General features: G+C 35.9%; 1 long non-coding RNA gene and 1 pseudogene across 1 annotated transcript in view; both read left to right on the forward strand.

The window, feature by feature from the left end:
• LINC02664 (long intergenic non-protein coding RNA 2664) overlaps positions 1-16,842 on the forward strand; it is a 73,670-nt gene extending 56,828 nt beyond the window's left edge. The window contains exons 2-3 of the long non-coding RNA NR_134478.1: positions 15,272-15,326; positions 16,285-16,842. This is a non-coding gene — a long non-coding RNA (long intergenic non-protein coding RNA 2664). The remainder of the gene's footprint in view (positions 1-15,271; positions 15,327-16,284) is intronic.
• RNA5SP309 (RNA, 5S ribosomal pseudogene 309) lies at positions 14,889-14,994 on the forward strand (annotated as a pseudogene).
• Positions 16,843-18,497: the final 1,655 nt, after the last annotated feature.

The raw sequence follows: 18,497 nt of genomic DNA on the forward strand, positions 1-18,497 counted from the left end.
TCAGAGAATTGTTTTGACCAGGCACTGATGGGAACGAAATCCACTGTTCAGTTTTATATGTCTGATTAGAAGCATTGTTCCACAGACTAGCTCCTGGCTCCATGCACTTCAAACCTTGTGTCTCCTCCAGCACTCACCTACTTCCTGTGCTGGGTGCAATAACTTTTTGGTTGACAGCAAAATATCTGTGAGCCCCAGACATGTATTTCAATAAACTCAACTGAATGTGTCTTCAATAACTTTGCCTTTTTTGGACCTCAAAAATGTCCTTGGCCATTCTAACAGTAGGGAAAGTCAGAGGAAAAAGAGACAGCAGTTTAACTGAAGATTTTTTAAAAAAATTTCACTTTTGCAAATTTTACCAGAATACATGACCACATAAGTATATGTATAGGGTCTCTCCCAGAGTGTTGGAAGGGGCCCATGTAAGTGAGGGGCACCGATGCTCGAGTTTTATTTGCTTCATGGAAAATCTGCCTCTGCATTTACTTTCTATTATAATAATTTATGTACTCATATAATTATGCCTACTATATTTGAGAGCATTTTTACATTTCCAGTTCCAGATAGAGTTCTTTTTACGTGGAAGCTGCTCAGTAAATTTTGTTGCGTTAACTAAGAAATTCATATACATTAAGGGGCAAGTGCAGTTACACGATCTCTCTCCCCACATGACTAAGTGTGCAGAGGAATTCCATGCTGTCCACCTCAAGGAAAATCACAGTTGTGTTTCTCCTTAGAAAGGGCACCAGTCAGTAGCTTTGGTCTTGAGTTTTTCTGGAATCCCAGGAGTTTTTTCCCACCAGTCTCAATAAGGTCAGAGACTTCTTGGTGAGGATTTCTGAAAGGATCATAAATTTATTAGTTGAAATAAAACTAACAGTATTTTGTCACTATGATTTAAAATAATAATTATAAGAAGAGATTGGTTAAATTGTTACATCTATAAAATGGAATACATTATTAAAATGCATGCAATGGAATATTTCTTTTGAAATGGAAAAGCATTCGTAGTATCCCATCAAGTGGATAATAATGCTCCACTTCAAAACCCTCACCAGTTCAAACCTCTACAACCAGTTTGTTGTTGTTGTTCCAGCGTGCCTGCTCAAGAACCCCATGGCACTCTCTTCTGCAATTTCAGTGGTACTTCCACTCATCTCCCCACTTTCTACTTCCCTCCTATCCAGGTTGGATTCCATGGTCCATTACCCCAACTACTCTCGGATTCCGTGGTCCATTACTCCAACTACTCTCTTGCAAATACTCTAAACTCCCTTGGCCCCTCCTTGTACCTTTGCTCTTTTGAAAATATTTACTTTAGGCCGGGCGCGGTGGCTCACGCCTGTAATCCCAGCGCTTTGGGAGGCCGAGGCGGGAGGATCTCGAGGTCAGGAGATTGAGACCATCCTGGCAAACACAGTGAAACCCCGTCTTTACTAAAAATACAAAAAAATTAGCCAGGCGTGGTGGCGAGCGCCTGTAGTCCCGGCTACGGAGGAGGCTGAGGCAGGAGAATGGTGTGAACCCAGGAGGCGGAGCTTGCAGTGAGCCGAAATCTCGCCACTACACTCCAGCCTGGGTAACAGAACGAGACTCCGTCTCAAAAAAAAAGAAAGAAAGAAAGAAAGAAAAAATATTTACTTTATTGCTGTAAAATACACATATAAAATTTGCCATCATAACCATTGTCTAGTGCACAGTTTAGTGGTATGAAGTACATCCATGTTGTACTTGGTGGCAATCATCACTACCATCTACCTCCCGACTCTTTGCATCTTGCAAAACTGAAACTCTATACCTATTATTTATTGAAAATTTCAATTTGTATTTTAGATTCAGGGAGTACATGTGCAGGATTGTTACAAGGGTATATTTCATAATGATGAGGTTTGGGGTAGGACTAAACCCATCACCCAGGTAATGAGCACAGTACCCAATAAGTAGTTTGGCCTCCCTTGCCTCCCTCCTTCCTCCTCTCTCCTGTAGTGACCAATATCTATCGTTCCCACCTTTATGTCCATGTGCACCCAATGCAATGTTCAGCTCCCACTTATAAGTGAGAACATGTGGTATTTGGTTTTCTGTTTGCCTTTTAATTTGCTTAGGATAATGGCCTCTGGCTGCACCCACGTTGCTGGAAAGGATATGATTTCATTCTTTTTTTATGGCTGTGTAGTATCCCATGATGTATATGTAACTTTATCTAGATATGTCAACTTATGTAAATTTGTAAATTTTCTTTATTGAAGTCACCATTGATGGGCACCTAGGTTGATTTCATGCCTTTGCTATTGTGAATATGCCTCAATAAACATAGGAGTGCATTTGCCTTTTTGGTAGAACAATTTATTTTCCTTTGGGTATATACCCAGTAATGGGATTGCTGGTGTGAAATGGTATCTTATTGTAGTTTTGATTTGCATATTTCTGATGATTAGTGATGTTGAGCATTTTTTTGTGTTTGTTGGCTGCTTGTGTGTCTTTTGAGAAGTGTCTGTTCATGTGCTTTGCCCACTTTTTAATGGGGTTTTATTTTTTGCTTAATTGTTTAAGTTCCTTATCATTTCTGGATATTAGACCTTTGTTGGATGTGTAGTTTGCAAATATTTTCTCCCTTTCTGTAGGTTGTCTGTTTACTCTGTTGATAGTTTATTTTGCTGTTCAGAAGCTCTTTAGTTTAATTTGGTCCCATTTGTCAAATTTTGTTTTTATTGCAATTTTTTTTTGAGGACTTAATCATTAATTCTTGCAAAGGCTGGTGCCCAGAAGGATATTTCCTAGGTTTTCTTCTAGTATTTTTATAGTTCTAGGTCTTAAATTTAAGTCTTTAATCCATCTTGAGTTAATTTTTGCATATAGTGATAGGTAGGAGTCCAGTGAAACTCTGTACCTGTTACACAATAACTCCTCATTCCTTTCTCCTGCTAGCCCCTGACAACCACTATTCTTCTTTCTGTGTTTATAATTTTGACTACTGTAGGTACCTGATATAAGTAGAATCATGCAGTATTTGTCTTTTTTGTGACTGCCTTATTTCACATAGTATAATAACCTCAAAATGTACCTGTGTTGTAGAATGTGTCAGAGCTTTCTAACTTTTTAAGGTTCTGTGATATTCCACTGTAAGTACATATATACCACATTTTGCTTATTCATTCATTCATTGTTGGACATGTGGTTTGTTTCCATGTTTTAGCCATTGCAAATAATGCTGCAATGAAAATGGATATACAAATATCTCTTTGAGACCCTGGTTTCTTTTTTAAAAAATCTTTTAAGTTCAGGGGTACATATGCAGGTTTGTTATATAGGTAAACTTGTTTCATGGGGGTTTGTTGTACAGATTATTTCATCACCCGGGTATTAAGCCTAGTACCCATTAGCTATTTATACAGATCCTCTCCTTCCTCCCTCCATTCTCAGATAGGTCCTAGTGCTGTTGTTTCTCTCTATGTGTCCATGTGTTCTCATCATTTAACTCCCACTTGTAAGTGAAAACATGCAGTATTTGGTTTTATGTTACTGTATTAGTTTGCTAAGGATAATAGCCTCCAGCTCCACCCATGTTCCTGCAAAGGACATGATCTCATTCTTTTTTATGTCTGCATAGTATTCCATGGTGTATATATACCACATTTTATTTATCCATTCTACAATTGATGGGCATTTAGGTTTATTCTATGTCTCTGCTATTGTGAATAGTGCTGCAATGAACATACATACGCATGTGTCTTTATGATAGAATGACTTATATTCCTTTGTGTATACACCCAGTAATGGGATTGCTGGGTCAAACGGTATTTCTTTTTTCAGGTCTTTGAGGAATCACCACACTGTTTTCAACAATGGCTGAACTAATTCGCACTCCCACCAACAGTGTGTAAGCATTCTTTTTTCTCCACAACCTCACCAGCATCTGTTATTTTTTTGCCTTTTTAGTAATAGCCATTCCGACAGGTGTGAGATGATATATCGTTGTGGTTTTGATTTGCATTTCTCTAATGATCAGTGATGTTGAGCTTTTTTTCTTATGGGTGTTGACCACATGTATGTCATCTTTTGAAAAGTGTCTGTTCATGCCCTTTGCCCACTTTTTAATGGAGACCTTGCCTTCAGTTCTTTGGGGTATATACTAACAGGTGGAATTTCTGAATCATATGGTAATTCTATTTTCTTTTTTTAGAAACAATCATTTTTTTACAGTGACTATAGTATTTTGCATTCTCATCAACAGTGCACAGGGTTCCAATTTCTCCAAATCCTTACCAACACTCAATATCTTTGGGGTTTTTATACTTTTAAGTTCAGGGATACGAGTGCAGGTTTATTACACAGGTAAACTTGTGTCATGGGGATTTGTTGTGCAGATTATTTAATCATCCAGGCATTAAGCCTATTTTTAATAGATGTCATCCAAATGAGTGTGAGGTGGCACCTCATTGTAGTTTTGATTTGCATTTCCCTAATGATAAGTATGTTGAGCATCTTTTCATGTGCTTATTGATCACTTGTATATCTTCATGGGAGTAATGTCTATTTAAGTCTTTTGCCCTTTTGGAATCAAGTTATTTTTTAGATTGGGTTTCAGAAGTTCTTTGTATGTTCTGAATATTAATCCCTTATCAGATATATGATTTGAAAATATTTTCTCCAATTGCCTGTGTTGCCTTGTTGCTCTGTTGATAGTGTCCTTTGATGCACAAAAGTTTTTAGTTTTTATGAAGTCCAATTGGTTTTCATTTTATTGCCTTGCCTTTGATGTCATATGCAAGAAATTCTTGCCAAATCCAAGATTGTGGAGCTTTTACCCAATGTTTTCTTCTAAGAGTTTCACAGATTTATCTCTTAGCTTTAAGTCTTTGATCCATTTTGATTTAATTTTTGTATAAGGTAGATAAGGGTCTAACTTCATTCCTTTGCATATGCATATCCAGTTTTCAAAAATTTGTTGAAAAAATTCTTCTTTCTCTGCTGAATGGTCTTGACAACCTTATTGAAATCATTTGACCATATAAGCAAGAGGTTATTTCTGGGCTCTCTGTTATGTTTAATTGGTCTATGTGTCTGTTTTCAGGCCAGTATCATGCTATTTTGATTGCTATAGCTTTGTACTAAGTTTTGAAATCAGGAAGTGTGAATCCTTCAGGGTTTTTTTTCCTTTTTTAAGATTGTTTTGGCTATTTTGGGTCCCTTGAGATTCCATATGAATTTTAGGATGGATTTTCTATTGCAGAAAAAATGATCATTGGAATTTTTATAAGGATTGCATGAATCTCTAGATGACTTTGGATAATATTGACATTTTAATAAAATTTTCTTCTTATCCATGAACATGGAATGTGTTCCATTTATTTATGTCTTTTTAAACTTCTTTTGGCAATATTTTGCAGTCTTCATCATACAAGTCTTTCATTTCCTTTGTTAAGTTAATCTCTAAGTATTTTATTGTTTTTCATGCTATTATAAATGGAATTGTTTCCTGACTTTTTAATGATTGCCATTCTAACTGGTGTGAGATGGTATCTCATTGTGGTTTGGATTTGCATTTCTCTGATGGCCAGTGATGATGAGCATTTTTTCACGTGTCTTTTGGCTGCATAAATGTCTTCTTTTGAGAAGTGTCTGTTCATATCCTTTGCCCACTTGTTGATGGGGTTGTTTTTTTCTTGTAAATTTGTTGGAGTTCATTGTAGATTCTGGATATTAGCCCTTTGTCAGATGAGTAGATTGCAAAAATTCTTTCCCATTCTGTAGGCTGCCTGTTCACTCTGATGGTAGTTTCTTTGGCTGCACAGAAGCTCTTTAGTTTAATTAGATCCCATTTGTCAATTTTGGCTTTTGTTGCCATTGCTTTTGGTGTTTTAGACATGAAGTCCTTGTCAATGCCTATGTCCTGAATGGTATTGCCTAGGTTTTCTTCTAGGGTTTTTATGGTTTTAGGTCTAACAAACATTTAAGTCTTTAATCCATCTTGAATTAATTTTTGTATAAGGTGTTAAGGAAGGGATCCAGTTTCAGCTTTCTACATATGGCTAGCCAGTTTTCCCAGCACCATTTATTAAATAGGGAATCCTTTCCCCATTTCTTGTTTTTGTCAGGTTTGTCAAAGATCAGATGGTTGTAGTTATGCGGCATTATTTCTGAGGGCTCTATTCTGTTCCATTGATCTATATCTCTGTTTTGGTACCCGTACCATGCTGTTTTGGTTACTGTAGCCTTGTAGTATAGTTTGAAGTCAGGTAGCGTGATGCCTCCAGCTTTGTTCTTTTGGCTTAGGACTGACTTGGCGATGCAGGCTCTTTTCTGGTTCCATATGAACTTTAAAGTAGTTTTTTCCAATTCTAGGAACACTTTTACACGGTTGTTGGGACTGTAAACTAGTTCAACCATTGTGGAAGTCAATGTGGTGATTCCTCAGGGATCTAGAACTAGAAATACCATTTGACCCAGCCATCCCATTACTGGGTATATACCCAAAGGATTATAAATCATGCTGCTATAAAGACGCATGCACACATATGTTTATTGCGGCACTATTCATAATAGCAAAGACTTGGAACCAAGCCAAATGTCCAACAATGATAGACTGGATTAAGAAAATGTGGTATATATACACCATGGAATACTATGCAGCCATAAAAAATGATGACTTCATGTCCTTTGTAGGGACATGGATGAAGCTGGAAACCATCATTCTCAGCAAACTATCGTAAGGACAAAAAACCAAACACCGCATGTTCTCACTCATAGGTGGGAATTGAACAATGAGAACACATGGTCACAGGAAGGGGAACATCACACACTGGGGCCTGTTATGGGGTGGGGGAGTGGGGAGGGATAGCATTTGGAGATATACCTAATGTTCAATGAGGAGTTACTAGGTGCAGCACACCAACATGGCACATGTATACATATGTAACTAACCTGCCTGTTGTGCACATGTACCCTAAAACTTAAAGTATAATAAAAAAAAGATAAATAAACAAAAAATTTTATTCGGAATTAAAAAACTAAATAAATAAATGGAATTGTTTTCAAAATTTCCCTTTCAGATTGTTCATTTTTAGTGTATAAAGATGAAATTTATGTTTGTATGTTGACTTTGTATCCCACTTTCTATTATGCTACTTTGCAGAATTCCTTTATTGGTCCTAACAGAGTTTTTTTTTTGTGGTGTGGAATCTTTAGAGTTTTCTACATATAAGAGCATATTACCTGCAAACAGAGGTAATTTTACTTCTTCCTTCCCAATTTAGATGCTTTTGATATTTTTTCTTGCCTAATTGTTTTGGCTGTGGCTTCCAGTACTATATTGAATTATTGAATAAAAGTGGTGAAAGTGGGCATCCTTGTCTTGTCTTTGATCTTAGAGAAACAGCTTTCACTCTTTCACCATTGAGTATGATGTTTTCAGTGGGGTTTTCATATATGGTCTTTGTTAGGTTGAGGTAGTTTTCTTCTATTTTTTGTTTCTTGGGTGTTTTCATCATATAATTGTGTATAATCTTGTCAAATGCTTATTCTGTTTTAATTAAAATATCCACATTTTCCCCCTTCTTTTTGTTAATATGGTATATTACAATGATTGATTTTTATATGTAGAGCCATCCTAGCATTCCAGGAATAAATCCCACATAGTTATGATAAATAATCCTTTTAATATGCTGCCAAATTCAATTTGCTAATATCTTGTTGAGGATTTTTGCATCAATGTTCATAAGGGGTATTGTTCTGTGGTTTTGTTTTCTTGTAGTGCCTTTTTCTGTCATTGGTGTCAGGGTAATGCTGGTGCCAGAATGAGTTATGAAGTGTTTTCTCCTCTTCAATTTTCTGGAAGAGTTTGAGAAGGATTGGTATTAGTTCTTTAAATGTTTGGTAGAACTCACCAGTGAAGCCATCAAGTCAAGGACATTTCTTTGTTGAGAGATTTGGATTACTGATTCAATTTCCTTAATAACCATAAGTGTTTTTTGATTGTCTAACTCTCTGTGATACAGTCTTGGTAAGTTTTGTGTTTCTAGGTTTTTTTATCTAGGTTTTTATCTAGGAATTTTATCTAGGTTGTCTAATTTGTTGGCATATATTGCTCATAGAATTCTCTTATAATCTTTTTTATTTTCACAGAATCAGTAATAATGTTCCTATTTTCTTTCTGATTTGAGCAAACTGAGTCTTCTCTCTCTTTTTTTCTTAGCCTAGCTAAAGGTTTGTCAATTTTGTTGATCTTCTTAAACATTTTTTGGTTTCACTGATTTTCTCTATTATTTTTCTATTTACTTATTATTACTATTTTCTATTCATTTATCTCTGCTCTAATCTTTATTATTTTATTCCTTCTGATAGCTCTGAGTTTAATTTGTTCTTTTTTTTCTAGTTACTTAAGTTGCAAAGTTAGGTTGTTTATTTGGGATCATTCTTGCTTTTTAATGTAAGCATTTATAGTTATAAATTTCTCCCATAGCACTGCCTTCCCTGTATCCCATATGTTTTGGAATGTTGTGTTTTGTTTTCATTTGTCTCTAAGTATTTTCTTTTTTTTCTTGTGATTTCTTCTTTGATCCATTGATTGTTTAATAGTGTATTAATTTTTACAAATTGGTGAACTTTCCAGTTTTCTTTCTCTAATTGATTTCTATCTTCATCCTGTTTTGGTCAGAAAAAATACTTTGTATGATATCATCTTTTAAACATCTGTTAATACTTAATTTGTGACCTAGCTAACCTATGGTCTGTCCTGGAGAATGTCCCGTGTGCACTTGAGAAGAATGTGTATTCTGTGATTATTGAGTAGAGTGTTCTGTATATGTCTGTCATAACCCTTTGCTTTATTGTGTTGTTCAAATTCTCTATTTCTTTACTTTATCTTCTATCTGATTCTATCCATTATTGATGATGCTAAAGTCTCTTTATTGTGGAACTGAATTATTTCCTTGTGTCCAATTATTTGTCTTTTATTCTTTTTTCCCTTTTCAAAAAGTGTGAAGTTTTAAAAATACCCACTAGAATATAAACTCCACGTAGCTGAAGATTTTTGTCTATTGTTCAGTGCTCTATTTGTAGTTCAGTGCTCTATCTTTGGTTCTAGTAGTTTGGGATATACTAGGTACTCATTTTGAATGAATGGACATGGGACAGTACAAAATTAATATAGAAAACACATTGTACCCCCATGCTTTATCAGAATTTGAGATATTACCATATTTGCCCCAGATTTGTCTTTTAAGAAATTAAATATTACAGATAAAGTTGAAGCCCCCTAGATACCTTTCCTGGATCTTATTCACCTCTCTCCATCCCCAGTGATAGTTGCTGTCAGTAATTTGGTGTTTATCTTTATCATGTAAATTTTTTTACTTTGCTACATATTTAGAAATCTCCATAATAATGTATAGCATTTTGATGGATTATAAACTTTATATAAATAAATGACATATTTTACATATTATGATTTTCTATATTATGTTTTATGAAATTTTTCCTTCTATGTTATATTTATGAAATTAATCCATGTTGATACATGTGGCTCCAGTTCATTCATTTAAATGGTATTTGTTTTTTGGGGTTTTTTACTTGCTTGTATAAAAATTTGTTTATTCTCCTACTGATGGACATTTAAGTGGCTTCCTGATTTTTGCCATTTCTAGCACTGCTACAATGAACATTCATATAAAAGTGTCCTTGCACAGCAATCTTCAAATGTTCCTCTGTGAAGGATCTTTGTTTAGGGCTGGAAAGCTGGTGCATGGGGTATACGGAGTTTCATCTCTAGTAGATATTGTCAAATTATTCTCCAAATACTTTGTGCAAATTAACATTCCCAACAGAAATATTTGAGAGTTCACCTTGCTTCACATCCAAGCCACCATTTGGTATCATCAGGCTTTAAGTAATTTTTTTCATCTTATGATGTGAAGTGGCAACTTACTTTTATTTTGCATTTCTCTGTTTACTAGAAAAAGTTTAACAATGTTTTATAAGTTCACTGGTCATTAGGTAATCCTCTTCTATAGACTGCTATCTGATGTAACTGTCTATTTTTTATTGAGCGATTTCTCTCTCTCTCTTTTTAATTTGCAGGCAATCATTATATAGGCTGGCAACTAATCCTTTGTCAGCCATATGCATTGTAAATACCTCCTTTTGGTCTAAGTTTTATCTTAACATTATTTATAGTATCTTTTTTATAAAGAAGTTTTATATTTTAATGGAGCTAAATTTATCAGTTTTTTTTCTTAATTGCTTAGTATATTGTTCAAGAACTCTCTTTCCACCCTCACGTCTTAAAGATATTCTCATATGCTATTATCTAAATTTTTAAAATGCTGCTCTACACATTTAGTTTTTAATTCGGTCTGGGGAATGAGGTAAGAATTAAATTTTATCATTTTCCATATGGACAATTAATTGCTCCACCACCATTTTATTACCCCACTGATCTGTAATGCAGCTCTTGACATATTACATTTCCCTGTATGCATGGGGCTGAGCTCTGTATTCTATTCCACTTGTCATCTTGTCTGTCTCTGTGCCAGAATCACATTGTAGTAATCACTATAATTTTACAAAAATTATTCATCTCTTTCTCACCTTGTTCGTCTTCAATTTTTTTTTTTTTTGGCTATTGTTGTCCTTTTCTCTACCATTTAAATATTAGGGACACTTGTCAAGTTAAATATAAAACTCTGATGGAATTGCATTGGATTTATAAATAAATTTGGAGAGAACTGCCATCTTTATTATAGTGAATCTTCCTATCCAAAAACATGGTTTTTACTCGGGACTTCTCCATTTATTTAGGACTTCCTTTACTTCAATAATGCTATATATTTTTTCATTATCTTGTATATCTTTATTAGATTGCTTCTTAGGTAAATTATAGTCTTTGTTGTCATTGTGAAAAGTATGTTTTTTGTATTGCTTTTCTGGTTACTAGAGTGTTATTGATTATGCTATGCTTTGTATCCAAAAATCTAGATCAACTCTCTACTTTTAGAATCGTATATTGGTTAATCATTAGAAATAATACCTCTTAGATTGTATGTGTATGTAAATATGCTTCATATTTCTTTCCAATTCTATACCCTTATGTTTTTATCTGTCTTACTGGATCGACTATAACCTTTAGTACATTACTGAATAGAAGTGGTGACATAAAATATCTTTATCTTGTCTCTGACTTTAATGGTAATGCTTCTAAAGTCTCATCAATATGCAGGATTACGTAGATTTTGAATATTAGGTAAATAAAATTCACTTCTATTCCTAGTTTAATTTTTTAATTATGATGAATATTAATTTTTCACCAAATGCTTTTTCTGGAGTTACTGAGATAATCATAAGGCTTTTCTTAACGTCTAAATATGGTATACCATATCAAAAGATTTTGGAATCTCTTCTTGAAACCACCCTTCCATTCCTGATATGAACCCAACTGGAACACAAACACTGCTGATTTTGGTTTGCTACCATTTGAATTAGAATGTTTTATCTCTCTGCTGATAAATGAAATGAATCTACAGTTTTCTTCTCTTATATTTTTTTCTGATCTCAAGATTACACTAGGTTTGAAAATAAGCTCTGTGGCTTTTCCTCTTTTCCAGCTCCCTGAAATAATGTACATAAGTTAGAGACTATCCATACCTTGAAGATATAACACCTAGCTGTAAAATCATCAGTACCTGGTGGCTTTTTGGTGGGGAAGAGTTTTGGTTGCTGACTTCACTTCTTTAACAGCGATTAGACTATTCATATTGTCAAATTTTTCATTCAATTAATTTTTGTAATTTATTTTTAAAGAAATTATTTCATCTAAAATTTTAAATTTGTTACTAGTAGTATTTTGTGGTTTAAAAAAAAATCTCTATCAGGAAAAACAGTGGTTCCCATGGTGGGGTGGGGAGAGGAAGTGAGAGATGTAGGTCAAAGGATATAAAATAGCAAATATGTAGGATGGACAAGTCTAGAGATTTAATGTGCAACATGAGCACTACAGTTAATAAAATTGTACTGTATTAGGAATTTTTGTTAAGTAGATTTTAGTAGCTATGTAAGATGACAAGTATGTTAATCTGCTTCACTATAGTAACCACTTGACTATATGTTTCCTATAATATCCTGTCGCAAATCTCAAATATACACAATAAAATGTATTTTTAAAAAACACATATATCTATAGGAAAGTCCCCTATTTAGATGCTAGTATTATACATTTGTGCCTTTTGTATTTTTTCTTGATTGTTCTCTTGTTGTTTTTTTCAAATAAAAAGCTTTTGGTTTTATTTATCCTCTCTATTGCTCCTTTGTTTAATTAATTTCTATTCTTTATTATTTCTTTTCTTCTACATTTCTTGTGTTTATTTTGCTTTTCTTTTTCTAACTTTTTAATCCAATTGCTAATTTATTTTAACATGTCTTCTTTCCTTCCCTCCCACCGAGACGGAGTCTTGCTCTGTCGCCCAGGCTGGAATGCAGTGGTGCGATCTGGGCTCACTGCAATCTCCACACTCCCAGGTTCAGGCGAGTCTCCTGCCTCAGCCTCCGGAGTAGCTGGGATTACAAGCGCGTGCCACCGTGCCTGGCTAATTGTATTTTTAGTAGAGATGAGGTTTCACCATGTTGGCCAGGATGGTCTCGAACTCCTTGACCTCGTGATGTGCCCGCTTCAGCCTCCCAAAGTGCTGAGACTACAGGCGTGATCCACTGCGCCTGGCCAATATATCTTATTTCTTAAAGATGTCATTTTGTGTTATAAATTCACCTCTGACTACCATAACTTTAGCCATTTGCTATGTAGTACATTCATTACTGTTTAATGCTAAATGTAATTTCTATTGTGATTTCCCTCTTTAACCTGTGTTATTCAAGTTTCCAGGCATATTTTTTCCTGCTGGATCAAATGGCGGTTCTACTTTTAGCTCTTAGGGAATCTCCACACTGTTTTCCATGATGTTTGTACTAGTTACATTCCCACCAGCAATGCAGAAGTGTTACCTTTTCACTGCGTCCTCGCCAACATCTATTTTTTTTTTTTATTATTATAGCCTTTCTTGCCGGAGTAAGGTGTTATTGCATTGTGGTTTTGATTTGCATTTCCCTGATCATCAGTGATGTTGAACATTTCTTCATATGTTTGTTGGCCATTTGTACATCTTCTTTTGAGAACTGTCTATTAATGTCCTTAGCCCACTTTTTGATGGGATTGTTATTCTCTTACTAATTTGTTTGAGTTCCTTGTAGATTCTGGGTGTTAGTTCTTTGTTGGATGTATAGATTGTGAAGATTTTCCCCCACTCTGTGTGTTGTATGTTTACTCTGCTGACTGTTCCTTTTGCCATGCAAAAGCTCTTTACATTCATTTTTAAAAGAATATCCTGTAATGATAGTTTATGATTGGTTACTTGTCTAAGTCTTTGTGATTATAAAAATGTCCTAATTTTATGCATTTTAATAGTTTTGCTTGGTATAAAATTCTCAATTGAAAGTTAATTTCTCTCAGCCCAGGAAGATAATCACTGTCTTCTTACATCTTAAGTCCACTGTCCATCTATTGAGTGTTCCTTTGCATGGAATCTGTTATTTCTGATAGCTTTTAATATTTGCCTCTTCTTTGTTGATGTTCTTCAATTTTACTATGTTGTACATTTATTTTTATTTATCCTGCTTGCTACTAGTGTGCTTTTAATCAGAGTACTCCTGCCATCTTACAATTCTGGAAATTCTCAGCTCTTATTTTATCATATATTGCTCCTCCATCCCCCTTTGCTGTCACTCCTATTAGGCACATATTATAGAACTTACATCACTCTATCAAAATCCCTACTCTTGCCCACAAGGTTGTACCAATAATGTTTTGCCATCATTCTAAATGGAAAATTAAAAGAAAATGTAAAGAAATGTTTATATTTTCCTAATGAAAAATGCTAATTCAGAAATACAATGTGTCACATTTGTATTTCAAACCAAGGAAAGACTATAAGATTACTGCAAAATCCTGTGTACTATATTACACTACAAGGCTAAAAATATAATTACACATTGAATTTGATAAATAAAAAATCAGAAAGATTCTTGAGACCTGAAATTTATAAGTGACAATAACATCACTTATCTCTAACTTCAAACTAGTTATATGACATTTTTAATTGTTGAAACCTGAAGTCATTAAAAATTTGTTGGTACATGTTTATAGAAGCATGTATTAATTCTATTTGTGTTTGTCTATGGGTATACGTATATATATTTGTGTGTACATATATATATATATAAATCTTATATAAAATAACACACTCCAGCAGTCCTAACTTAAGTTTTCTTTATAACCATAATTATTTCATACCAATTTTTAAATACCAATGATTATTAAACAACAATATATTGCCACCTGATATATTGTTTGTCTATTTTCTTCCTCTAAAATGTCAACTCCATGAGGGTAGAAACTTAATCTTTTTTGGTCATTACTGTATTGCCTGGAACACTTCCTAACATGTAGTACTAATTCCTTAAATATTTGTTGAGTGAATGGTAACATTTTTATATGTTCCAGACCTGAATTTGAGTTAAAATTGAGCAAGAGAGAGACTTCCATGAAATATGCGAACTAGAAGGGTTACAGGTAAACTGTGGGTCCAGATGGATCGTAAAGTTGAGGAGTGTGGAGTGTGTGGCTGAGAGAGGTGGAACAAATTAGGCAACGCCACAAGTCAGAAGACTCAAAGAGTGTGTAGTTCTGGCCATGACCGAGGTCAACTGAGGAAAGTTAGGAGAGGAAAGCTGGCCAAATTTTGGGGGTGTACAAACTTGTTCAAGATTAAGCCTGCAAGCTTAGATGCAAGCATATAAAGAATCTGATGGATGGCTGCTCCAATAGAAACACCCTACATGGGGTCTGCAGCCATACCACCCTGAACACAGCGAGTCTCATCTGATCTGGGAGGCTTAGCAGGGTCAGGCCTCAGTAGTACCTGGAAGGAAAATGAAGCACATAGGATGTGTCCTTCAATAGGTCCCACTGACATTCAAACTCCTTAGTGTGGCACACAAGGTCCTTCACATTCTGGTCTCCCTGTCCAGCCTCCTCTATCATCACTCTATTATTGATCTAAAGTCGGCTCCACCCATTTTGGACTAATCACATGTCCCTGAACTGCACGTTCACGTTTTTCACAGGCTTTGGCTTCTTCCTTTCCTCCTGCACAGTATATTATACCTGGTCTCTTCACCTTCGTTTTCCCCTTTAGTCCCCTGCCTATCCTCTCTTTTCTTTCAGGTCTTCGCTGAAACATGGGCACTCGTGGGAAGTGCTTTCTGTTCCCCAGGCTCAGGTATGGTGCCTTTCTGATGTGTCTCCCTAAAACCACTCACTCCTACGTAACATTTGTCATGCAGTTCGGAAATGCCACTCTTGAGGTCTGTCTTTCCAGCCAGTCAATATGCTCCTCAAAGACAGGGATTGGGTTATGTTCCGGCACCTGACACAACAATTTTTTTTTTTTTTTTTTTTTGAGATGGAGTTTCACTCTTGTTGCCTAGGCTGGAGTGCAATGGCGCGATCTCGGCTCACTGCAACCTCCGCCTCCCAGGTTCAAGCGATTCTCCTGCTTCAGCCTCCCGAGTAGCTGGGATTAAAGGAACCCACCACCATACCCAGCTAATTTTTTTTTTTTTTTTTTTTTTAGTATTTTTAGTAGAGATGGGATTTTGCCATGTTGGCCAGGCTAGTCTTGAACTCTTGGACTCAGGTGATCCGCCTTGGCCTCCCAAAGTGTTGGGATTACAGGCGTGAACCACCATGCCTGGCCTGGCACAACAACTGACACATAGAGGGCACTCGATCAATAGTATTGAATAAATTATGAGTGAAACAGTACAAATGAATGAACGTGGACAGGTCCAATAAGGCTGTTGGATCATAGGCAGTGTAAAGAGGCATGGTTATTTAGTTGGTTAAGTCTCAAGCCCACCGAAGAAGAGTATGTGTTTGTTGCAGGAGTCAAGGGAGCTTTAGGGAAGACTGGGTGGCCTTGGTATCCCAGTGGAGTTGCTTTGAGCAAGGTTTAGTCAAAGGTAGGTTAAGGATATGGCAGGGCAAAAACATCAGGAAGCCAGAGTTTGTCTTTGGAAATTCCAGCCTTTCTTTTCGGGTGATTTCCCCAACCCCTGCTGCAGCAGTCTCTTATTTACTTTGACTCAAACACCGAATTCCCTCCTACTACTCCTTCTCCTTTCTACAACACCAGCTCTCTAGATATTTCTGTTCCTAATTTTTTTTTTTTTTTGTAGAGACAGGTCTCCCTATGGTGTTGCCCAGGCTGGTCTTGAACTCCTAGCCTCAAGTGATCCTCCTGCTTCAGCCTGCCAAAGTGCTGGATTACAGGTGTAAGCCACCTCTGGACATCTTATCTGTGAAATTTTAGGCATTGATCAGTGCAGAAAGAACCATGAACTGCAGGATGTTCTCAGAGACTCTGACATTATGGCCCACAAGAAGCTGCCCACTCAGCTTCTAGTCAGTTAGGTGTGGACTTCATCAATCACAGAATGAAGACTCAGACAGCCTCCCAGGAGGACACAAAGTCAGCCTCAGAGAGGCATGGAGGTGTTAAAGAGGGAAGTGCCTGCTAGAATTTCAGTGGGTTGGATATGCTCTTTAACGATGCACAAATCATAGGTATACATTTTCTGACAATTGGAATCTATTATTACTCTTGAACCAGCTGTTCCCCAGGCTGTTTCCTGTAATGGAAGGGATACTTTGAGTTTATATCTTTTCAATCCTACATCCTCAGAAATCTACACTGATACTAATAAAGGGACTCATTTCTCCTATAAGAACCCCTATGCGAGAAAAGTATGTTTGGGTATTGCCTAATGCACTCATAATAAATATACACAGCCATAAAACAGAGTAAAAGTCCTGGTAAGCCTGTTATTTGCAGTAATTGTAGATTGTGAGTGGACATTTTAAAGAGAAGCTTACAAGTTAGTTGTACTTTCTGGTAGTAATTACCTCCCACAACATGACTCACTTCGGCAGTTTAAATGCAAGAGTTGGGTGTCCCAAAATCAACAGTTTTATAAATAAATCTCTGAATCATGAACTGAATGCATAAATGTTTAAATATTTCTCCTTCTTAATCTGAAAGATAGCTTTAGATTTAAGATATTGCACATATTTTAAATACCTTAGGGGAAAAATAAAAACAAAAAAAGCAAAAAAGGCAATGGATGTCTCTGTACACTGTAGAAAGGCTTTAACTTGGAAGTTGATATCCTCTTTGCAGGAATGAACCTACAGCAACCAGAGTGTTAAGTGGATGTTTTCTTCAATCCAAGAGGGGAGGCTGCTATCAATCTGTTCTAATGCGGCCCATTTGTTTGTTTTTTAAGTAATACTCGCAGGGCAGACTTTTATGGTAATGTAGCAACATTAATGCTTTTAGGTGGGACTCTCCTGCAGTCTCATGGGTAATAGAACATATAACGGAAGAAATGTGGCTGTGTCAGCTTGGAATGCTGCAGAAAGAACAATTCATGCCAGAAGGAGACATTCGGTTTTTTGGAATGCTCACTGAAAGACATTGTGTATCTCAATGAACTTCAGCCTTACAATCAGTGAAGCTTTTTTTTTTTAAACCTGAAAAAAATCACACTCTAAAATTATTAACAGAAACATCATCCACCCCACTAGACTCATTTTTTTGTGAAGTTCTAAAGTTTTATTTATGTCTGGTTAAAAAGGGAACTGTATTAGAAGTCTGTTCTATTCTTGTAACCATGTTTTTCAGAATTTACGATTAATCACCCACATGGATCTAAGAGTAAAATCTGGAGTCAGAATTCTATATCTGTGTTTAAAATATAAAATCACATGTCGATCTACCTATGTTTTTCCCTCTGTTTAAAATAGCAATGTGACAGCCAACTTAGCACTGAATCCTATAGAATGTTCAGTGTCGAAAAAGAACGGCTTCTGCTGGTTTTTTTTTTTTTTTCAGTCCTTTTCTGAATTTGATGTCTATTTTGTTCCCAGTTATTTTCATATCTTCAGCTGCTGCTATTACATTCCCATCTCTTGGAAGGAGCCAGAGCCAGAGAAATACAGGGTTCCTCTGTGGCCAAGGGAAAAATGCCTGCCAAGAATGCTGAACTTCTGGTGAAGGTCACTAAATACTACAAAACGGACTAAGTACAGTAAATAATAATGTTGGTGCACACAAATGAATAGCCAATTGCATTGGCATTTTGTGGGGAAATCTGATATTGTATAATAACACTAGTACATCTAGACATGGAGAAGCTAGTAAAACACCTCCAAAGGGCATGCAGCAATTCTGTGGTTGGACAAGGACCAACCCAAAGCTCAGCGTGTCCCAGAATAATCATCCTGACAAATAACTGGTATCTTTGGTTGCACGTATTAGACCCCTTAGTATCGTAGGCCAGAAACTTTTCACCTGGATCTCATTAAGTTTTTTGTACAGGACGGAAAAACC

Source organism: Homo sapiens, chromosome 10 (assembly GCF_000001405.40).
Source record: "Homo sapiens chromosome 10, GRCh38.p14 Primary Assembly".
Lineage (NCBI taxonomy): Eukaryota > Metazoa > Chordata > Mammalia > Primates > Hominidae > Homo > Homo sapiens.